The 24875-nt window shown below is 42.5% G+C and overlaps 1 protein-coding gene across 20 annotated transcripts in view; it reads right to left on the reverse strand.

Moving 5' to 3' along the window:
- Positions 1 to 24779, reverse strand: part of STXBP6 (syntaxin binding protein 6) — a 240694-nt gene extending 215915 nt beyond the window's left edge. For 8 of the 20 annotated variants that reach the window (NM_001394418.1, NM_001394420.1, NM_001394410.1 and 5 more), the window contains exon 1: positions 24510 to 24779. The gene's annotated coding sequence lies outside the window, so the exon portion shown is untranslated. Of the gene's footprint in view, positions 1 to 7174; positions 7217 to 19551; positions 19573 to 23591; positions 23633 to 23838 lie in introns of those variants that run through there. The other 12 variants (NM_001394413.1, NM_001394411.1, NM_001394419.1 and 9 more) reach the window with 5 other exon arrangements.
- Between the last annotated feature and the right edge of the window lie 96 nt (positions 24780 to 24875).

Consider the following 24875-nt stretch of genomic DNA (forward strand, 5'->3'; position numbering starts at 1 on the left):
TCTGCCCTAAGGCTGCCTTTGTGTCAAAGGCACATCAAATGGAATACTGGAAGTCCTCAGGGAGCTGACAGTCTAATCAATGGGCAAACACAGAAGATATGCAGGTTGCAGATTATCTTTAAGTGTTCTTATAACTGAGCAACATACTAAAATGTTTTAACATCATGTCCAAACAGTGTAAGATGTAGAATTAAGAGACCTGATGCAGCCAGTGTTGCTAGATATGACTTTGGGCAAGTCAATTTTCTGAGCCTGTTTCCTTACTCATTGCCACCGCATCCCTCAGGGCTACTGCAAAAGAAATGAAGGCAAAAGAAAATCTTTTGCAAATCTGAAAGCACTACACACTGTTAAGTATCACGAGGGACACTCATAAAAATGTCCTGTTTCTCAGAATACAGCAGTGACCACCTTTTGGAGTCCCTTAAAATGAAGTCAGAGGATTCTTTCTAAACTCTAAATTCAATCATTCCATTTCCAGGCTTCAAGATTCCTTACTCCCAAAGGATAAACACTCAACTGTTTAGCTTGGTAAATAAGGTCCTGCAAAAATTGGCTCCCCAACTGCCCTTTCCATAGCTTTACTCTTCAAAGACCACAGCAAATACACAGCTGCTCCCTGATCACATTGTCTTCCGTGTATCTTTGCCTTTACATTGACTTTACATTGTTGGTGGAGTTCCTGGCTATGATTATCCTGCCAAACTTAGGACTCCACCAACTGCTATTATAGCACCTTGCACATTATAATGGAGCACTGAACTTCTGTAGGAGAAAGAGGATAAATGTCTTATTCTTATCAGTAGCCCCCATCCTTAGTATAAAGCCCAACCTACAGCAGTCAGTAAATGTTCCCTGAGTGACAGGCAAGGGAGATACTTACTTGCATACCTCAAAAAGACGGTGCCAAAAAGAGAATCTCAAGGGAAGGTTGTCAACTGAAAAAAAAGCTTAGAGACCTAAATAAAAATACTACAGGCCCACATCTCTTATCCAAATCCCCTAAAGCCAGGTGTGCTTTGGAATTCAGCATTCTTGACTTTTTAGAAAGGTAATATGGTACGTACACCTTATGCTCCAAGTAGGATCTAGGTCAGCACCCCATAATCAAACACGGTAATACTGCTGCAGCAAAACTTACAAATGATCCCACTAAATTAGATACATGAAGAACATAAATAGACTCACATTTGTTCAAGTCCGATCTTACCACCAAGTGAGTTAGAAAAGCTTTCAGGGCCTTTAAGATTTTGGAATTAGAGAGAGGATGGTGGCTCCATACCACCTTATTTGCATACATAACTTTTTCACATCCCTTTTCTTGTTTGCTCAGAAATTCAGTATGGCAGGACTGACCCATATTTAGGCAACAAATTAAAAGTGGACACACACCCAAACAGCAGCAGACAGGTAATAAAGTATTCTGAGAAAAAGAGGTTCAGAGGCACATAAAAATGGCCATCATCACTAGCAACTGTTACAGCCTTTTACACCATTAAAACAAAAAAAAAGTTCTTTCTGAATCTAGCATGGAACCACCAGGTGAGAAAAGCAGTGAATACACAGAGCAGGAAATGAATGAAAGACTGATTGCAAGCATGCATACATGCATGCATACATACATATTGTTAGGAGCTAACTCCTATCAGATTTCTAAATGGCTTCCCAATTGCGGGGACAGAAATGTACACATACAAACAATGGCATTCAGACACGAAAATCAAGCTGTTGCAGACCAATTTGACTTGCTTCCATATCAAAATAGAACCCGTAATGCATAGATACAAGCATAGTTTGTTTATTGTGCTTTATTGCACTTCACAGATATTTTATATTTTACAAATTGAAGGTTTGTGGCAGCCCAGTGTGAAGCAAGTCTATCAGCGGCATCTTTCCAACAGCATGTGCCCACTCCATGTCTCTGGGTCACATTTTGATAATTTTGCAATATTTAAAAATCTTTCATTATTATATGCTACAGTAATCTGTGATCAATGCTCTTATATGTTTCTATTGCACTTGTTTTGGAGTGCCACAAACCATGCCCAAAAATGACAGTGAACTTAATCAATAAATGCACGTATTCTGGCTGCTCCACCCACCAGCCCTGTCCCGGTCTCTATCCCTTCGTCTGAACTCTATCAATAAATGTATGTATTCTAGCTGCTCCTCCCACCAGCCATGCCCCTGCCTCAGGCCTCCCTATTCCCTAAGACACAACAATATTGAAATTAGGCCAATTAATAATCCTACAATTGACTCTAAGTGTTCAAATAAAGGAAGATTCTCATGTCTCTCACTTTCAATCAAAAGCTAGAAACGATTACGCTTAGTGAAGAAAGCATGTCGAAAGCCAGGACAGGCTGAAAGCTAGGCCTCTTGCCCCAAACAGCCAAGTTGGGAATGCAAAAAACTTCTTGAAGGAAATTAAAAATACTGCTCTGCTGAATGCATGAATAAGAAAGAAAAACATCCTTATTGCTGATACGAAGAAAATGTGACCAGTCTGGATGCAAGATCAAACCAGCCAACCAGCTACAGCATTCCCTTAAGCCAAAGCCTAATCCAGAGAAAGGCTCTAACTCTCTTCAATTCTACGAAGGCTGAAAGAGGTGATGAAGCTGCAGAAGAAAAAAAGCTGGAAGCTAGGAGAGGTTGGTTCATGAGGTTTAAGAAGCCATCTCTATGACATAAAATTGCAAGGTGAAGTGGCAAGTGCTGATGTAGAAGCTGCAGCAAGTTATGCGGATGATCTAGCTAAGATAACTGATTAAGGTTATCAGTTACCATTAAGGTTATCAGCTACACCAAACAACAGATTTTCAATGTAGATGAACAGCCCTATATTGGAAGAAAATGCCATTTAGGACTTCCATAGGTACAGAGGAGAAGTCAAGGCCTTGCTGCAAACCTTCAAAGGTCAGGATGACTTTCTTGTTAGAGGCTAATGCTGCTGGTGACTTTAAGTTGAATCCAATGCTTATTTACCATTCTGAAAATCCTAGGGCCCTTAAGCATTATCCTAAATCTATTCTGCATGTGCTCTATCAATGGAACAACAAAGCCTAGATGACACCACATCTGTTCACAGTATGGCTTACTGAATATTTTAAGCTCATTGTTGAGACTGACTGCTCAGAAAAAAAAAAAATCTTTTCAAAATATTACTGCTCATTGACAATGTACCTGGTCATCCAAGAGCTCTAATGGAGAGGTACAAAAAGATTAATGTTGTTTTCATGTCTAATCATCCATTCTTCAGCCCATGGATCAAGTGGTAATTTCTACTTTCAAGTCCTATTATTTAAGAAATACCTTTCATTAGGCTATAGCTGCCATAGACAGTGATTCCTCCGATGTATCTGGTCAAAGTCACTTCAAAATTTTCTAAAAGGAGTCACCATTCTAGATGCCTTTACAAATATTTGTGATTCATGGGGGGAGGTCAAAATATCAACATTAACACGAGCTTGGAAGAAGCTGATTCTAAACCTCATAAATGACTTTGAAGGGTTCAAGACTTCAGTAGAGAAAGCAACTGCAGATGTGGTGGAAATGGCAAGAGACCTAGAATCTGAAGTTTAGCCTGAAGATGTGACTACGTTGTGCAATCTTATGATAAAACTTGAATGAATGAGGAGTTGCTTCTTATGGATGAGCAGAGAAAGTAGTTTCTTGAGGTGGTGAAGATGCTGTGAACATTGTTGAAGCGACAACAAAGGACTTAGAATATTACATAAACTGAGGTGATAAAGCAGCAGCAGCAGAGTTTGAAAGGATTGATTCCAATTTTGACAGAAGTTCTACAGTGGGTAAAATGCTAACAAACAGCATCACAAGCTGCAGGGAAATCTTACACGGAAGGAAGAGTCAATCAATGCAGCAAACTTCACTGCTATCTTATTTTAAGAAATTGCCACAGCTACCCCAACCTTCAGCACCACCATTCTGACCAGGCAGCAGTCATCCACGTTGAGGCAAGACCCTCGACCAGCAAAAGGATTACTATTTGCTGAAGATTCAGATGATCATTGGCATTTTTTAGCAATAAAGTATTTTTAATTCAGGTATGTATTTTTTCAGACATAATGCTACTGGACACTTAATAGACTTCAGTATAGTGTAAACATAATTTTTATAAGCACCAAGAAACAAAAAATTTGTGTGACTTACTTTATTGCAATATTTCCTTTATTGTTGTTGTCTGGAACTGAACCTGCAATATCTCTGAGGAATGCCTGCATATAAATGTATTATTTTAAACAACCACAAAGACTCCTATATAATGCTTCATGTGAAAAATTTCTTTTAGAACCAAGTGCTGGCGGGAGTATAAAGCTCTCCCTGAGAAAATGGTAGGTGCTTTCCCTCCTGAAAAGACTTACCACATAATTAGGAAGAGGAAAAAGAATGTATAATCCCATTTGCAATGAATCCTAACACCTGGACACTCATTTGGTAGTTAAGCTAAAAGTTCTTATTTCAAAGAGCTGGATAATTCTGCCTCAGAACCTTTATAACAGACACTACTTGATTCTATCACACACCAGAGGCCAATAATAATAGCAATAGCTACCATTTATCCTACTGAGTCCTCACGGTATGCAAGGCAGGGAGCTGAACACTTTGAAAGTCTCAATTAATCCCCCTATTAATAATAGAACATATCTCATAAGGTTACCATCCCATTTTACATATAAGAAGCTGGATCTTTCAGGAAAGATCCCAGAGCTTTCAAGAAGGAAAATCAAATGACTACAATGGCATCCCTTGCCAATTAGATAGCATTGGGATTGCAATTAGATAGCAATTGGATAGAGCAATTCAACAGGCTGGAGTAACAAAGGTGACTAGGCCTAGCCCCCAAAGTCTGGTCTTCCATGCCTGTCTGCTCACAGCATCCAGGACAGTACCCCATGCCCAATATGAGGGGAAAAGGCAGGGCCTGGGCCACTGAATGGGAAAAGGAAGCCAAGGTGCTCATCAACTCACCAGGAGAGCCTGGCCACTTCCTTCCCAGCACCCTTTATTCTACTACAAGCCTTGGGGACTCTAATAACTCTCTTTTGCCCTTTTTTGAGGCCAATATTTGCCAATTAATCATGACTCTAAGACCTTGAGTGGAGGACAAGACACTATTCCCTCAAGGGTTCTTCATCTTGAGGGGCAATACAGAAAACAAAATGCTTACTGTGTTGGGCAAGGGAACAGGAGAACTGATTTTAAACAGACAGATTTTAAAGGCAAATTGGTAGCTCACAGATCACCAGTTACATATATCTTCAATATCCACCTAAACACCAGGGCACAATAAAGGCTGACAGCATTGATGGGTTCCTATCTGTCCCTCCTCGGCCTTTAAAGCTGTAATCCTCATGCTTTCTGAAATTGCTACGGCCTGGCTTCATCTTGAGTCATAAATTCCTACCCATTGCTATACAACATGTTATTTTTAATTAAGGTAGATTTAAATTAACTGTTATGGAAATTGCCTAACACCCTACATAATAACTAATTAGACACATCCCGATTTCCTTCACAAACTCAGAATGAAAAGAAAAAAAAAAAATCACAAGTTCCAGAATACACCTCTCATAAAAACCAAGAAAGGACAGTATATTTCAACAGAAATTCAATCTATTGCTAGTGGAAATTTGTCCAGACCAGACATAAAATATTGGTACGCTTCGAAATTATTTCTTCATACACACAATATTGCCAAATTTTGTAAATATTTATAGACCTATAAATCTTTACATTGATTTTAGAACAAGACAAAGCCATCACTTGGTTCTCCCCTTGTACTGAACCAATTAAAGCTTTGGTTACGAAAAAGCAAGAAAACAACTTCTAAGAGAGAATGACCTTAAACTGAAAAATAGGCTTTAATATGAAACGTCTTAGAAATATTTTAAGTTCTAGAAAATCACAATGAGCTGGAGAATCGAGAGATTGGAATTAAGAATTCTGAGTTTACTACTCATTTATGGTAGAATTGTACTGCCTCAGTTTTCTCACCTGTAAAACAGAGGCAGGCAGAAAGATGAGAGTACAGGAGGAAGAGATGACAAAGGGGTTAGATATCCAAAGCCTTTTCCTGCTCAAAAACAATTGATATTGCAATATACATAGAATAGATTCTTTCTAGAGACAGACTACTCCTCTGTTTCAACTAAAAAATAAAAGCTTTTTAAAACATCAAAGAAAATAAAGATACAGGATAATAAATTGGCTTTAATCGTCTTAGCATGAGAGTAAACTTTTATTCTTATGCAAATGCAAACTTACAAAATAAAAATGAGTGGTAATAAATATTTTTGAAGAATGGCTGTATGTATCTCCCAAGCAATTTTTTTTTTTTTTTTTGCTCAGTTCTATATATCCTAATGCACAGGACAAATGAAGATAATTTGGCACATGCTATTATTGCCCACCATCTCTAGTTATTTTAAGACAGTAACATGTTTATCAACAGCATGCTTAGGACAACAGACCAGCACAGCAGAGCAGAAATATCCCGAGGTCACTCTTGGACCCCAACGAAGAGCCTAAGAAATGCCCTGCTTCCAACTAAAGGAAGAAATGGACAATAGTATCACTGAATTCCAAGAGAAGGTGGGGAGTGGAAAATACAGAAGAAATATGGTGGTAAATACAGAAAGAAATACAGACAGGAAGATAGAAAGTTTGAAGTGACAGAGATGGAAAAAATAAAGAGGCTTGAAATATAAAACCTTAATAAAGACAACAGAGGCACACAGGAGGAAAACAGACTGACCAGCCACTTTGCGCATGGTCTCCAACACCGCGAAGGCATTCTATTCTGCAGAGAGAAAGCACTGCAGCAGTACTGATCCCCAGGACTATCACCACACTGGAACTAGCCTCTCTCTGGTTTTAAGGTTGGTGGTGAGTTCCATCATCCGACATCGCTCGACACAGAGGATCAAGATCAAGACAACATTTGTCCTCAGTCCACACTCAGCCCTGGGGTTGTGACTTGAGCACCCCAAGGCCTGAAATGTAAAACAATCTCAAATAAAAAAGAAACTAGATCTAACCTATCTTTAACTCATCTCTCCCCCAGTCCTCAGTCACATTAACCAAAAACTCATCCACTGATTCAATCACTTTATGGAAGGATCGAGTGGAAAAAAGAAACACAGGCATTTACCTAAGCAGGAGCACTCAACCCGTCCGGGGAAGCCTCACCTACCAAGAGCCAACTGTCACCACAGGGCCTATGCCCTCTGAGCAGCAGCTCCCACTAGTGGTGGGGAGGACAACAGGAGAACATAAGAACAGATTTCACAGAGTCCCTCGATCAATGTAAAATCCTTCACATTTCACAAAGTTACCAAATACATAACCCTCACAGACACCTCAGAAGGTTAGTGTTACTAGGCTCATCATACAGATAGATAAACAGAGGATCAGAAGGGTTGAGTCTAGCATAAAGGGAAAAAGACACATTTCTAAGTGCTGAGAAGTTCAAAATAACTTGTAAGTGCTTCCTGAAAATTGCAGGCACATCTCTATATGATGAAATGCATTGGGGGTTGTACTACAACTATGAATCTTTTCTCTTGCCCCAGCCACACTCATTGGTACACTAACTGCTGTTTCCCACCAAGCACACACACCACTTTTCTAAAGAAACTCCTCCTGTTCTAATCCATCAAACAAAAGGTACATGAGTGGCTATTATAAGTAATACTGTGAGGATTCAAACTTCAATTGGAAAAAGATCTTGACTATAGTCTACCTGGGGAGGCATGACGGTCCATGCAATGACACCACCATCACACAGTCATGCAAGCTAGAGACTGAAGAGCCAACTCTGGCATCTCCCTGTTTCTCACCCTGTACTTTCAACCCATTACCACATCCAGTCATATCACTTCTTTCTATTTCTCCATACCTCCACCCGGTTCGCTCCATCTTTACCACCCTGGTCAGACTATCATCATTTCTTCCTAAACTACTGCAAAAACTTCTAAACTGGTCCACCGTATCTTCTCTTGGACTTCCACAATCAATTCATCCACTTCCTTTATTGCAAAAAACATGAATCTTGTCAATCTAATCACTTCAAATCCATGTTAGGAACACTGGTGACTCTTGAGAAAATACTTTCTCATACCCATTATCCTCCACTTCCAGCCATAGAGGGCTTCTGCCCCTTGCTCATACCAAGGTCCTTCCTACCTCAGGGCCTTTGCACATTCCATCACCTCCATAATGCCATCTCCCTCCCTCTTTAACTCTACTTATCCTTCAGATCTCAGCTCATCATGACTTCCTTAGGAAACTGCCCTAATTTATTTGACTAGGCCAAACTCCCTCAAACATGTACCCCCCTGGAGCACTTACAACAGTTGTCATGTAACATTTTATGCAATTAGTTTAGCTCCTTTAAAAACATTCTATAAAAGCAGAAACCTTGTCTGATTTTGCTCACCATGAAAATCGGTTACACACGTAGACTCTTTTGCTGAATGAATGAAAAGACAGAGATCTAAGTTTAACACAAAACAAAATGAAAAAAGTGCCTGAGAAAATGCAGGTATATGGCCCTGCAGGATTTTAAACCAGGAATTTCCTGGGGTCCCTTCACCCCAAAATAGCACTATGACACAGCATCTATTTGAGGAAGGGGAGAGAAACTATAATATCTTTGTCTGTCCTTTCTCCTGTTCCAAGCCTGGACATGAAACGGACAAGGAAAGAAGTAGGGTGCTGCATAGAAGCTTGGCCCTGTATGTTTGCTTTTGATAAAGGTAGGGGAAGGAGGTACCGGTAATAATACCCAAACACTTACTGAAAGAAAAACCAACTAAACCTACTGAAAGAGTTGTTCCAGGTAAACTTGACCCCTAACACCCCCACACAAGAACCATATCCCTCTGTGGAGGCCTTTCCATGATGTAGGTCATCATCCTTACATGAAGCTGAATATCTTTCCCCTCCTTTAAATGTCAATGGCATTTCTCTCCTTCAAAACCCAGTTTCTTCTCAAAATCTGCTACAATTTCCCCATCCCTCACGTAAGCTGAGCATATTTAAAATGCAGTCGCTCATACTGATGCACTTCTTATTAATTAACGTCTGATCTTCTTTCTTTTGAAATCCAGTTTCTCAAGAATGGCCCCAGGTTCTGACCATACCCTCTAGTCACGCACTGCCTCAGTACAGCACAGTGCAGTGGTCAAGAGCCTGAACTTAGGAGTCACATGGATGGGATGTGTGACCCTGGGACCAAAGGACAACTTCTCTGAGCCTTGGTTTCTGACTCTGTAAAACAGGGCTAGTAACGGCACCTAATTAAAAGAGTTGAAAGAATCCACAAAATGTCCTTAGCACAGTGTCCAGCACACTACATATGCACAGCTATTAATATTTTAATCAATATCACATAGAGGAAGCCTCAGATATTCACTGAAGTGAGCTCCTTATTCCTAAACCAAGAAGCTTATTAAAAACTTCTTAGAAAACTTCTTGGCCGGGTGTGGTGGCTCACACCTATAATCCCAGCACTTTGGGAGGCCAAGGGGGGCAGATCACCCGAAGTCAGGAGTTTGAGACTTGCCTGGCCAACATGGTAAAACCCCGTCTCTACTACAAATACAAAAATTAGTTGGGAATGGAGGCGTGCACCTATAATCCCAGCTACTCGGGAGGGTGAGGCAGGAGAATCACTTGAACCCAGGAGGCGGATGTTGCAGTGAGCCAAGATCGCACCATTGCACTCCAGCTTGGGTGACAAGAGTGAGACTCTGTCTCCAAAAAAAAAAAAAAAAAATTCTCATAGAAAGAACTTTAGACAGTTGTACCTGTGAGATAACACAGCCATCTATAGGGAGGCAGTGCTTACTGTACCTCTGCTGCAGATGACAATGGGACCTGACCTACATCCTAGTTACATATCCAGGAACTAATCATTAGCTACACCCACTCAAAAAATAAGGATGTGGGCGGTCCTTTACTCCTCCTGTCACAATGTATATTTTGTGTTTACTCAGGACACCATGAAATTCAAAGTACAAAGCACCATTTATACGTTTCTTTCTTTTGGCAGGAAGTCAATAAGTTCAAACGTCCACCAGCCAAGTCCAGATCTGACATATACAACCTACACAGGTGTATAGGACAATATAATCTGATAAGAAAATGAGTTTAGATCGCCAGATATTCACAGCCACTGGGTTCAACTGCTTCTTAGTGACACCTGGAATTCTTTACAGGAATTAAATGTGGCATAAAAATGAATATCTTACCAGAGGAAGTTTTCATTAAAATGTCCTCAGAATTTTTTTTTTCTCAGCTACCTCATTTTATCCAGGGAAAACTATGTGAAAATGAACAAAATAAAATTATAATCTGTATAGGAAATTTAGCAATCTGGTTACCCACGGCCAAGTACTCTGCAGTAAAAACCAAGACTGTGCAGGATTATAGGTGTTAAAAATAAAGAAACTACCAAATGAAGAAAGCATTCTTCTATGTAGTCGCAGGAGAAACACAGAGGTTTCTTTGCTACTACTTTGAGCCAGAAAAACAGGTTGTGGGCTGGGCACGGTGGCTCACGCCTGTAATCCCAGCACTTTGGGAGACTGAGGTGGGTGGATCACCTGAGGTCAGGGGTTCGAGACCAGCCCAGACAACATGGTGAAACCCCGTCTCTACAAAAAATACAAAAAGTAGCCAGACATGGTGGCGTGTGCCTATAATCCCAGCTACTCAGGAGGCTGAGACGGGAGAACACTTGAACCCGGGAGACGGAGGTTACAGTGAGCCGAGATTGTGCCACTGCACTCCAGCCTAGGCAACAGAGCAAGACTCCATCAAAAAAAAAAAAAAAAAAAAAAAAAAATACAGGTTGTGGATTGCAGCTTTCTACATCCTCAGCTTATAGATAATATTCCCAGTGTCAGTGGAAGAGGGCTAGTGTGGTGGGGTCCATGATCCCAAAAGGGTGAGAACAGGTCTCTGGGATGGCCAAGCACATATGTCTTTCTTCCGGACCCTTGGGGCAGCCAAATGCCCCACTGTCTATCTGAAAGCTACCTGCCCAGGGCATTCCTTTCAGGAAAAATTTCTGAAAGTCTTTACTGTACACAAAAGAACATTAACCCACTGGGTCTTGGGGAAAACTAATAGGAGATTTTAAGTTCAGCAATAAATGAACATTAAAGAAATCAGCTGGCCCGGCACGGTGGCTCACGCCTGTAATCATAGCACTCTGGGAGGCTGAGGCGGGCCGATCGTGAAGTCAGGAGATCGAGACCATCCTGGCTAACAGAGTGAAACCCCGTCTCTACTAAAAATATACAAAAAATTAGCCGGGCGTGGTGGCAGGCGCCTGTAGTCCCAGCTACTCAGGAGGCTGAGGTAGGAGAATGGCGTGAACCCAGGAGGCGGAGCTTGCAGTGAGCCAAGATGGCGCCACAGCACTCCAGCCTGGGCGACAGAGCAAGACTCCGTCTCAAAAAAAAAAAAAAAAAAAAGAAATCAGCTATACCCTTCCTCTACTGGTCAGATTTTATGTAAGTATCCACCCTGAAAAAGACCTGCTTTTTACACGGAATATACACGGAATATATTTCCAACAGTGACATTATTCATCAGCATATCTTTAAAGTATTTTCTGGGTAACTATTTGCCAGTCAGGAAGAAAAAGGAGCAGACACAGCAAAGCCTACAGTAAGACAGTCCTGGCAGAATGTGGCAGGACCCTGAAAGGCCCTGAAGAGCTCCAAAGATCAGCAGGACCGCAGGAACCAGGTTTGGGAAACAGGAGTGTCCTGAAGCCTGACACAGGCCACCTAGGACTCCTGTCTCCACAGAGCCCCATTTGACAGAGGCCCGGAGAGCTCCTGGGACTCTGAAATAGGACAGGAATGGAAACCAGAACTTCACTATCAGCACTTGTTTTTCTGGCTGCAACAGAGTTTTGTTAATTCCTCCAACACTTGTCAGAGGAGAGGCAGGGTAGGGAAAGGAAAAGGCAAGACAGTAAGGTTTGACTTTTAAATCATGTTCTCTTTTGCTCTCTAAACCTGACTTTTCACCTGTATAATGATAATACTCAAAACAGATTAAAAGACATCATTCAAATGGCATCTTCTCCCTCCCTGCTAATGTCTTCAGTCTTCACTCAAGAAAGGAAGTTGCATTCCTTTACAGGCAAGTGTTATAAATAATGCTTAGGGTTTTTTGTTTGTCTGTCACCCATGGCATTAGTCCTTCCTTCCAGTGGGACTGGGCTCTGAGAAGTCTTGCTATTTCCCAAAATCACTGTACATGCTCAAAGGTCATTTTAAAACCACCTAAAGTATTCAAAAGTATGTATGTTTAGAGCAATTCCAAAAAATGTTTTCAGCAATACTTTTTAAGGTGGTTTACTATCTTCCAGAGGGACTTCTACAAAAGGCAAACTCATCTGGAGATCAAATGGTTTTACACTTTCAAGTGGTCTCTGACTTTACAATTGCCCTGGGCCATCTATGCTGGCTCCAACTTTTCAGCAAGTTTCCTTGCTAAAGGGTTTTATACCTCTATATACCACTTCATGTCCTCCTTCCCCAGAAACATTTGAGGATAAAATCAGATATCAGTGACAGGTAACCCCCATGACTACAGATTTCAAGACTTTTTACCAATGTTCTGTGGAACTTTCATTGTGTTTTTAAAAATACGAACACACACACACACACTCACACACACAACTGAAACATAAACAAGAGGCACGGAAAGATACTAAACTTCAAATGGTGATAAGCGAAAGACAAGCTAAAATCATAATGACAGACCCCCATACAAACATCAGAATGGCTAAAATGAAAATGACTTATCAAACTAAGTGTTGGCAAAGAATGTGGAACAATGGAACTCTTATTCATACCTGATAGGAGTGTGAAGAGCCACACTGGAGAACTGGCTGTACTCACTAAAGCTGAACATATTCACATCTTAGAAATCAGCAGTTGTAGACACACACCCACCATCAGAAAAGCAAACCCATGTTCATCAAAAGACATACACATAAATGTTCACAACAGCATTATTCATAATACTCAAAAACTGGAAACAATTCAAACATCTGCCATCAGCAATTTATGTTCACACAAAGGAATACTATCCAATAATGAAAATAAATAAACTACTGCTGCATACACAACGTGGATGAATCTCACAAAATCAAGGGAAAGAAGTCAGACATAGGAACCCTTAGAAGCAGAGATTAGAGTGGTTGTTACAAAGAAGGGAACAATAGACATTAGGCCAACTTGATGGCAGAGGGTAGGAGGAGGGAGAAGAGCAGAAAAAATAACTATTGGGCACTAGGCTTAGTACGTGGACGACAAAATAATCTGTACAACACAGTCCCATGACTTGTGTTTATCTATATAACAAACCTACACGTGTACCCTCGAAACTAAAAGCTTTTTTTTAAAAAAAAGAAAAAAAAATAATGGTAGTTACCAGGGGAGGAGATGGAGGGACCAGGGAGATGTTGGTCAAAAGATACAAATTTTCAGTTAGATAGGAGAAATGAATACATTTAGACCTACTGTACAACACCATGATTATAGTTGACATAGTGTATTCTATACTTCAAAATTGCTAACAGAGTAGATTTTAAATGTTCTCACCACAAATAAATGATAAGTATAGGAGGTAATGCATATGTTAACTAGCTTGATTTAGTCATTCTACAACATATACATATATCAAAACATCATGTTGTACAACAATAAGTATACACAATTATTTTTCAATTAAAAATAAATACAAAATTTTAAAAAAGAAGTCCAACATAAAATACAAAATACAACATAAAAGAATACAAAAGTATAAATTAGGGGGTTAATAGCATAGATTCTTTATGAGTTTTCATTTCAACTCAAACAGGAAGTTATTATAAGTCTTGTAGTTCTATTACCAGGGCTGCTCTATAGTAAGCCTTTATTTCAAAAGTGGAGAGCTTTTCAGTTCACATATGGAAATGAGGCATACTCTTCATTTTGGAGGCATCAAGTTTCTTTTACTTAGTTTCTCTCTCATTCTGTCTTCAGCTGCTTTCTGACTGTCTTTGTATAAATTGCAGTTTCTTGGTGCATATCTCTCTGGATATCTTATGTCTCTCTCTGGGTCCCAGGTTAGGAATTAGGCCTTCTTCAAGCAAGAAAGTGCTTGGAACACTAAGGCTGGACCCACGGAGACTTGGCTCCTCTACAGCATTGGCCCAAGGATTAGCCCTCTTCATTTCCTGGAATGCTGTCAGAAACGCAGAATCCCAAGACCCACCCCAGACCCAGTGAATCAGAATCTGCATCCTTTTTTTTTTTTTTTTGAGACGGAGTCTCGCTCTGTTGCCCAGGCTGGAGTGCAGTGGCGCGATGTCAGTTCACTGCAACCTCTGCCTCCTGGGTTCGAGCAATTCTCATGCCTCAGCCTCCCGAGTAGCTGGGATTACAGGCGCCTGCCACCATGCCCGGCTAATTTTTTTTTATTTTTAGTAGAGACAGGATTTCACCATGTTGGCCAGGCTGGTCTTGAACAATTGCCCTCAAGTGATCCGCCTGCCTCGGCCTCCCAAAGTGCTAGGATTACAGGCTTGAGCCACTGCGCCTAGCCAGAATCTGTATCTCAACAGGATACCCAGGTGACCACACGTACATAAAGGTTTAGAGGCACCGACCTGGGGCATATGGTGACCTGACAAACTCAGAGGCCTAGGGCTAGAGGTCACAGCCTTGCAAAGGTCATACAGTTCAACCTAAATGGCTCCTGTGTGAATGGCCTCACTCCCAGCCTGGGGCCATATGAATGAGCCATGTTTTACACCTGTAACTTTATTTTCCAAACTCAAGTCACATTATTCTGGAACTTGGGGGTGGTCAGAAAGGAGGCAGAGGACAAGGGAGGTGGTTAGAATTGAAGGTAGAAAGGCATGTCTGCTCTCATTTCTCTGCAACTCAGGAAAAGAGGGTAATATTTGAGAGCTAAAAGTCTACTGAGGCTGCTACATAGTACTGCAGGACCTTAGACAGAAGTCACTTCACCTTTCTCTATCTCAGTCTTTTCAAGTGTAAAATAGAGATAAGTAACAGTACCTACCTCTGAGAGTGTGTTGTAGGATTAAAGGAAGCGACATTTGTAAAGTGCTTAGAACCATGTATTATGTTAGCATATGATAATGTATAGGTAGTATTAAATAAAAATTTATTATTTTTATGTCATGGAGTTGGTTTCTCTCTGATAAAGAAACAAAAAATAATAGACTAGATAGTGAAGGGGAATCACAGAAGAAAAGCAGCTCAACATATGTTTATTGATTCTCTACTGTATGACAGACACGCATAGTTTGTATCCTCTGGGATACAAAAATGAAGATCCTTGTCTTTGAAGGAGTTCACAATCCAGTGGGGAATGAAAGCAAAGGCTGTCCCTAAAGCCGATGTCTTCATTCAAGATTCCTGTTCCATCTTTTAAAATCAACTATTAGATAGACCAGTAAGTATGTGGTTGCCAATGACAAAAAAGGATCTGAAGTCTCATTTCTCAGTAGTGAAATTGGGAGAAATGTCTACTTTATTAGCTTTAAGCTCCTTATATAAGTGCCAACTTCCTATATTCAAGGTAGACAGTTTAAAAAGAAAAAACGGGGCCAGGCGCGGTGGCTCACGCCTGTAATCCCAGCACTTTGGGAGGCCGAGGTGGGTGGATCACCTAGGTCAGGAGTTCGAGACCAGCCTGGCCAACATGGTGAAACCCAGTCTCTACTAAAAATACAAAAAATTAGTGGGCAGTGGTGGTGGGCGCCTATAATCCCAGCTACTCAGGAGGCTGAGGCAGGAGAATCTCTTGACCCCAGGAGGCAGAGTGAGCATGTGATCGTGCCATTCCACTCCAGCCTGGGCAACAAGAGCAAAACTCCATCTCAAATAAATAAATACATAAATAAATAAATAAAAATAAAAAATGTATATTGTTATAGTGGATAAGGATTTAATCTTAAAACAACTTGCTTCAGGAACACCCAGCTTCATATTCCCAGCTCCTTCTCAGCAGCAGGACTGCTTCCTTATTGCTCTTTAATGATAGGGTAGATTAAATTTTTCAAGAATAATATTAACTTCTTAACCACCAGTTACTGCTGGCTTTCAGCTTAGACTGTACAAAGTCAACATATTTCTAGGCAGCCTACAAACAAAAAACAGCTCACTGATATACGCCCTATCTGACCAAGCTTAGTCACCAGAGCGGTTATGGAAAGTGACTAGACTGCAGCACACATATTCACCTGCCAGAGGAATCAGATAATTCTCACTTCCAAATGACATGGCCACCTCTACCTTCCAGAAGCGCAGTGAGTCCCAGTGAAGCCTAGTGTATTAGGCTTCAACCCAAATATCTTATCTTTGATTACCTGATGTCGATGCAACAGCAGTTCAAATGCTCTGCCCTGGCATTGTAACAAAGTAAACAATCTCATTCTTCAAAGTCATCAGGCGTTAAAGACCCCAACCTGACAATCCATGCAAGAGTCAAACAAGAAGGTAGAACAGGGTCTCAAAGGGTACAATTACTACCCTTAGGAAAGCAATAAACATCAGGCTGTGGAGACTGGAAACTAGTTTGATTTATTGCACTTGTGGCTTTGTTTAATTCTTAAAAACTATTTGTACGTATTGTTTCCCAGAAGAAAGAGGATCCATCAACTTAATTGAAATGTAAACACAATCTCCTATTTCCTTCCACTTCAAATGATGATAAACGAAACAGAAACAGAACAAATTTAACAAGCCACCAACTCACCTTGGGTAACCTATGAGGATGTAATTCCCCAAGCCAGCACTGTAGAGTAATAGCATATACTTTACAGAGGTGCTTCATCTTACAGCTCATAATGTCCTCATGCCAATCCCATAAGAAGGCAAGCCAGCCGGGATTAGTGCCAGTCCCAAAAGCAACAGAGGAAGCAGAGGCTGGTGAGGGCAAGGGGCACAGGCTCCAGGTGGGAGAATCCCAGTCATGTATTTTGTTCCTTACTCCTTACCACAGAATTCTTGATCTTTGTGGGCAGGAGAAGGTCAATAGCATTTAGCATTTCAGGCACATGATGCTAGGCACACTTCTACCTGCTCGGTCTTACTCTGATCATACAGATAAGAAACTGTGGCGCAGATGTTAATTAACTTGCGCAAGGTCACGCACACGTTAATGGTAGAGCTATGTTTCACACTCGGCCCTGTCCCATTCCGAAGCCATCTTCTCTAAACTGTATCAGCTTCTACTCAAAGTATGATCCACTCGACAGCAGCATCTGCATCAGGGAGAGCTTGTTAGAAGTGCAGAATCTCAGGCCCCATCCCAGACCTACTGAATCAGAACCAGCATTCTAACAAAATCTCAAGAGGCACTGTGGCACCACACTGTTAAAGAGAGAAGAATGTCTACCCAAGGGCCAACTGTGTCAGCTCCAGCGGTGTTAAACCTCATTTAGTATCATGCCTCTTGGACCCAAATACGTTGATGTTCACGTAATGCTGACCACCACAAGAACCCTCTTTAAATAGAGATTTTTTAAAAAGAGGGAGGAGGCAGTCTTGACAGAGTTCTACAAACAAATTAGAAGATGACACTAAAATGTCGATCACAGTCAGATCTTAAGGCAGAAGCTAAACTGAAACTGCAGAGTCAGCATGCCCTCTGGTGGATCACAAGGAAGCCTGAATAGGGAATTTGTCTCTGGAGGAAAATCCAGAAACACACTCAGATATGAAGATGACAAGGCACTTGCCATGAAAACGATCCCACTGACTCAGGAGCAACTTGGAACAAAACCCTTTTAATTCAGGTAGTAAACTTTCGAATGAGAGAGTAACAAGAGCATTCTAGAAAGCCAAAGACAAACAAGGATAAACGAATAATCCAGATATTTTTTCCCGATAGCAGAAAATTTAACCTGAAACTGAAACCCTATTTCTGGAGTTGTCTCATCATTTTTTTTTAAAAAAACAAAAAACAAAAAACTCTCCTTTGGATCCAACTACCTTCTTCCTATTTTAAAAAATTTAATAATTCATATACCATAAAATTCACTCTTTTAAAGTGTGCAACTCAGTAGTTTTCAGTGTATTCAAAAAATTGTGCCATCATCACCCTAATTCCTGAACATTTTCATCACCCCAGAAAGAAACCTCAGACCCATCAACAGTCTCTCCCCATTTCTCCCTCTTCCAACCCCTAGCAACCACTAATCTACTTCTGTCACTGTGGATTTTCCTATTGCGTACACTTCATAATGGAATCATGTAAATACATGGTCATTTGTATCTGGCTTCTTTCACATAGCATGTTTTCAAGGTACATCAATGTTGTAGCATGAATCAACATTTTGTTCCTTTCTATGTTTGAATAGTTTTCCTTGCATGGATGTACCACATTTTGTTTATCCATTCAGCAGCCGATGGATATTTGGGTTGTTTCCACTTTAGGGCTATTAAGAATAAGGCTGCTGGCCAGGCGCAGTGGCTCATGCCTGTAATCCCAGAGGTCAAGGCAGGTGGATTGCTTGAGCCCAGGAGTTCAAGATCAGCCTGGGCAACATGGTAAAACTCTATCTCTACCAAAAATAAAAAAAATTAACTGGAGGTGGTGGCACATGCCTGTAGTCCCAGCTACTCGGGAACCCAAGGTGGGAGGATTGCTTGAGCCTGGGAGGTCGAGGCTGCAGTGAGGAGAAATTGTGCCACTGCACTTCAGCCTGGGAGACAGAATGAGACTCTGCCTCAAAAAAAAAAAAAAAAAAAAAAAAGGAATACGGCTGCTATGAATATTCATATTTTCATGAACATGTTTTCAGTTCTCTTGTGTATCTATCTTGGAGGGGAATTGGTCATTAGGAAGCCAATATTTAACATTTTGAGGAACTGCCAAACTGTTTTCCCAAGTGGCTGTTCGGTTTTACATATTCACCAGCAATCTAATGTAGGAAGCTTCCAATTTCTCCACATTCTCCACCTGGCCGTCCTGGTGGGTGTGAAGTGGCATCTCACTGTGGTTTTGATTTGCATCCCCCTAATGACTAATGGCACAGGAACACTTCCATGCCCCCGTCCAGTTCCAGGCACCCCTGACTGCTTTCATCCTGAGTGTTGCGCCTCCACTCCTGCAACCAGCTGTCCAGTCCTCTCTATAACTCATCTGCTATTTCAACGAATTTACAGAATCAAAAAACTTTTTGTTTTGTTTTTGGGACAGGATATTACTCTGTTGCCCAGGCTGGAGTGCAGTGGCACGATCAGGGCTCACTGCAGCCTTGACCTGCTGGCATTACAGGCATGAGCAACCAAGCCTGGGCTTAATAGGTTCTTTGACCACCACCACAGATTCAGTAAATCTCGCACTGTGCTGGGCACAATCCATTTTGTTGTATGCTCTGAAAATTATTTATATGCAGGCACAAATGCAAGTCTTTACTCCTGCTTCATTATCCCTCCAACCTAAAATGTCCCTTATCTATCAAAGAGTGCTACCCACCATTTATATTATCACAGTCCAGCTCCTTCGTGGAGACTTTCTTAGCCACTACAGCTTAAAATGTTCTTCTCTACTCTGAAATAAAAAATAAGTAACCACTTATAGAGTTAATTAATTAATAGCCATACTTAATGAATGTCCCTATATTTTCGGGATATACTAGGTGAAACCATCCCACCCACAATATTAAATCACATATTAAAATTGTGGTTTGTGCTAACTCAGTAATGGAGTCCTAAAAGATACATATATAACCTCAGAAAATTCTGTATTCTGGGAAACGCTGACTTGAATAAATGTAACCAAGTTTTTGTCGTTGATATAGTTAACTATAGTACTTCTCATAGTCTTTGATATAATGATGCCCATGTTGAGAATCTCTACAAGAGGAAAAAAAAATAATAGGCAGTGCTTCCCAAATGGATTTGCCCTTTATAAGAGCAAACTGATTAATACCCACCCCAACAGCACTTTACCCAACATATTCTCGGAACTGCTGAGCTAACTGCTCAGCAATTCAATCAGCTGGACAGCATTGAGTAGAAACCATATTTTCTACCAGAATAAGGAACTAACCTTGCTTTGTTTGAGGATGTCATCAATTGATAGTCACTACACTAACATACTAGGTTACAGAAGAAAAAAAAACTGCACATTAAATGCGTTCATACTTTTTTTTTCTTTTCTTTTTTTTTTTTTTTGAGATGGAGATTCACTCTTGTTGCCCAGGCTGGAGTGCAATGGCACGATCTCGGCTCACTGCAACCTTCGTCTCCCAGATTCAAGCAATTCTCTTGCCTCAGCCTCCCGAGTAGCTGGTATTACAGGTGCCCACCACCACATCCAGCTAATTTGTTTTTGTATTTTTAGTAGAGACAGGTTTTCATCATGTTGGTCAGGCTGCTCTTGAACTCCTGACCTCAGGTGATCCACCCGCCTCAGCCTCCCAAAGCGCTGGGATTACAGGTGTGAGCCACTGCACCTGGCCTAAATGTGTTCATAATTTTTAAGATCCATCTGGGCTTCTGAAATCAGAAAAAGAATGTATCTTAGAAATGAGCTAGTGCAGTATAACTAGTGTTTTAGTTTAAAAGCACCCTCTAGGAACATAGAGAATAATGCTCTAGGAATGGGCCCTGACTCTCTGTGACTCAGTAATAACAGTCCTAATGACCAAAAAGAAATAAAGTGTCATAATGACCGTCTCACAACAGATTTATTAAAGGGAGCAAAGATACCATGTACTGAGAAAAGTGAACAACAGTGATAAGAGGCTGCCCTCAAAGCAGGGGTAACACCCAAAATATAAACATCAGGTTATGGGAAGAAATTTTAAAATAGAAATGTTCCCTACTTATACTAAGTGGGAAAAACCATTGAAATTAACTAATGAATCTTAAGAGTGACAACCAGAAGGCTGTTCCTTCACCAAGTGCTGACTGCTGTCAGGAAGACAGGTTTGGGCCTGAAAGTTTTATCTACTAAAACACTAAGTGTACACTTGAGTTTTTTAAAGGTTTCTGATTTACTGATAGGTTTCTCTAGTGCTAATCATTTTAAAACTAAAACAAAGCACAAATGGACAGCTGAGATAAAGCATGACAGTGAGCTGGGATCCCATTTGGCCTAGCAACACAAGAACTAGTTAAGGCACTGACTGACCTCCTCTTATACCTAATTGATTTGGGCACTACATTATGTAAACTTTATTTCTTCCTTAGGATGTTATTGCAGGAACCCTCCTGACTCAAGCAGGCTCCCACAGCCTCTCTGATGCAAAGCAGTCAAAATTCAAGGCCACAGTCTAGGTCATAGGAAGTCATGGTGAGCTCACAGCACAGGACTATGGCGTGGGGGAAAAGGAAAAGAGCTTAAGATTGGGTTAGGTCCCAATAGTGCTTCATTACAAGCTAGGTTACACAGGACACCACACTAATACTGATCAGCTGCCCCTGAAAGCCAGCCTTCTACCCTCTTAGAGACGAAGAGAGGGTCTCAGCCACTGCCAATGCCACTACCATTCTCCAGAAGGAATGAAAGGGCTTTGCCAGGTCTAACCACCATGGGACATTTGTCGTGGGGTGTACTTCATGCTCCTTCCAGGGCCTGGGTAAGCTGTCCATTCGGAAAAGACACCACTGCAAATTCTTCTTAAACTTGTTCCCTAGGTGATCTATTCTGTCCTCCAACCTTAAGGTTCAAGCTGTCAGAACTGTACGTAACCTCCTTTCCACAAATGTCTGAGGTTTCTCCAAAAAAGGAAATGGGGTAGTTTTTAGATTTTATAAATTATAAAGGTCACCAATCCGGCACTACCCAAGGGTGATCTAAAACCTGAGACTACATATTTTACAGTATGAAAAGAAGGGGGAATCCTACCTCTTTGTAAAATACATCCATTTGAAGAGCAATCAGAATTATTAAACCTAGATAATGGTAAGTGGCACAGGCATTGGAACATAAAATGCCTAAGGAGACTTCCCAACACACCCCCAAAGAAACCTTGTCTCTGTATATGAGCTAGTAAAATAATGGCATTTCACAACAAACGTCATCTCTCTTACTATCTCCCACTCCATAAGTTAGTGATTCTATAGGCATGGTCTGTAGCACCATTAGCATCATCTGGAACTAGTCAGAAATGCTAATTCTTGGGCCTTCACCCTAGACCTAGAGAATCAGAGACTCTGGCAGTATAGCCCAACAGTTTGAGATGTAACAAGCCCTCCAGATGATTCTGATCTGAGAACCACTGCCCTAAGATTAGGGAAGATGCTGCACCTGGGGTGGCTCAGGAGCCTGTGTGAACCCTTTTTAACTGAGTGATAATCTCACCTGTTCTTGCCTTCAATTGATACTGGCTTTTAATCTTCATAGACTGATTTCACAGATTAGGATTTGAGTCCTTAGTTCAAGGTCACTATTAGAGGTCAAGTCAGAGCTCCATTCCAGGATCTGCTGACTTCTTCATCAGCCTTGAGTTTCAAACTAAGGCCTTTCTGACCGTGCCAATTCTGGGGCCTAGGACTCTGAATGTTGATAAGGCCACCCCAGTCATCTCCTAATCTACATCATGCTGCCTTCCTCAGATAAATATGAGGACTGGAGCTCCAATTCTTAAAATCAAAAGAGATGGATTTGAGGATAGAGAAAGAAAAAGGGTAAACAGATGCTTCCAAAGGCCCAAGCAACTAAACCACTTGGTGAGGAGTGGACAGAGAGGAGAGAAGACCTAGATGTCTTGTTATAATTAAGAATTAGCTCATTCAAAACAACTGAGTAAAGAGCACAGAGACAATATCTAAGACCTGAATGGTGCTTTTAAAGTTTTCTTAGCTCTTTTCATTTTCATTATCTCATCTGAGTTTACAACAACCCTGCAATGGAGGGAGGTAAGGCCACGATTATCTCCGTTTGACAGAAGAGAAAACTTAAGTTCAGAGTGACTAATCATTTGTCCATCAGCACTGTCATCAGCTGTAAAGCTGAAACTTGACCTCAAGTCTGTCTGACTCTAGAACTGTGTAGTGTATCCACATTATGTGATTCGCACATCTAGAAATCGGCCCCAAAGCAGACTACCCTCAAGGAAAAAGCAAAGAGAAAAACAGGCAGCAGAATGGTGAGCCCCTAAATCCTGGCACTTGAGCAGTGTGAGGGTGTCCCTTTAAGAACGTAACACACAAACCCAACAGCCAAGGTGTTCAGCCAAAAAAGAAAAAAAGAGAGGCATATTTCTAGCCTGCATAATCATTTCTGGACCGATTCCCACTAGCAGCCTCTGAGACGAACAGCAGCTCACAGCCTCGGCTGAAGCTCCTCCACCCCCAGGGTGGCTCTGACTAGGGCGCAGCTCTGACTAGTGTGCAGGCAAAACCCCAAAACTCAAAACAAGAAGTGAAAAAAGTGGAGCCAGGAAAAATTCGTCGGCATCCTCCACAGCCTTACAATCCGCACAATGCCAGTTCCAGGGTCCTGGGGTCGCCCGGAAGGCAATCTTAGGAGAGGGTGGAATGAGATGGAAGTTCCTGCGGACCTACCGATCCTATTCTCTCCCACCCAGTCCCTAGGGAAGCGTAATAGGAAGGGGAGAAGGTTCGTTATGAAATCCTGGGGCCAGAACCAAGGGCAGATACACCCCGGGGACTTTCTCCTAAAGAACAAGATGTCTTTCCAAATTCTCCACCTGCAGGTCCTGTCCTCTGTGAAGATGAACGGGGTGGGGTGGTGAGGTGGCGGGGTGTTGTAAACCTGAGGAAAGGTTGGAGGGAAAATCAAGCCACCCACCTACTCCAGCCACGTTGCCCGGCGGTGTTGGTGAGGCTCGATGCCGGCGTGCACGGCAAGCGCGAATTCGGAACCTGGCGCCCTTGACCAAGCCTGAGATCGGAAAGGGGGCATCGCCCAGGGCCAGCGCCCTGGGGGCAGGGTGCCGTGCCCGCCAGAAAAGCTCGCCTCAGTTTTGGCAGTAATGATTTTCCTAGAAGATGCCAGAGTTCGCGAAGATCGGAGTGATTCGCGGATTTCTGCGCTCAAGCTAGAGGCGCAGCGACCCCGAGCTCCCCCACACTGGGAGCCTCGGGGCAGCATTCTCGGGGCCCATGCCATCGCGGGGACGGTGCGGAAAAAAAGGCTCCATCCTCAACTTTCTCGGAGGAAATCGCTCCGTTCTGCGGCTTGCCCAATACTGCCCGCACAACGGGTCCCAGGGTTGGAGAGAACCAGGGACACGAGTCCCTCTCTGCGCGCACAAAGCAGCTGCGCCGGGGCGCGCGGCCCCCTCTCCCGCCACCCGCCAACTTGGAAGAATCTCTCTGGGAGCCTGCCTACTCCCCTGGCCTCACAGCCACCCGCCTCGGACGGAGCGCCAGGCGCCCCAACAGCCGTGGCGGCTGCAACCGCATCTCCCGGGCTTGGCCTCCGCCCTGACCGCCTGGCTCCCCTCGCCCCGGTCCTACCGTGCAGCCTGGCTCGCGCCCCTGCCGTGCCAGTGCGCGGCACGCGTCCCAGAGCACGAGGCTCCTCCCCGGGGGGCTGCCCCGCGCGGGGCTCCGGGCTCCGGACAAGGCTTAGCCGGCCCGGGTGCTGGCTCGCCGCCGCTCGCGGCTCCCGCGCCGGCTCCTGCTGCCGCGCGCGAAAAGGGAGGGGTTGGGGGGAAACTCCCGGCAACTCCAACTCCGGGCGCTGGAGCTCCAGCTGCAGCCGCGCGCCCGCCCGCCGCCGAGTGCGAGCGCCTGCGAAGCAAACCTGCCCGCGCGGCCGCCTCTGAGCATGCTCAGTGCCGCCGTGGGCGAGCCCGAGCGCCCTGGCCCGGGGCAAAGAGC

The sequence above is a fragment of the Homo sapiens genome, chromosome 14 (genome assembly GCF_000001405.40).
Source record: "Homo sapiens chromosome 14, GRCh38.p14 Primary Assembly".
NCBI classification, from domain to species: domain Eukaryota; kingdom Metazoa; phylum Chordata; class Mammalia; order Primates; family Hominidae; genus Homo; species Homo sapiens.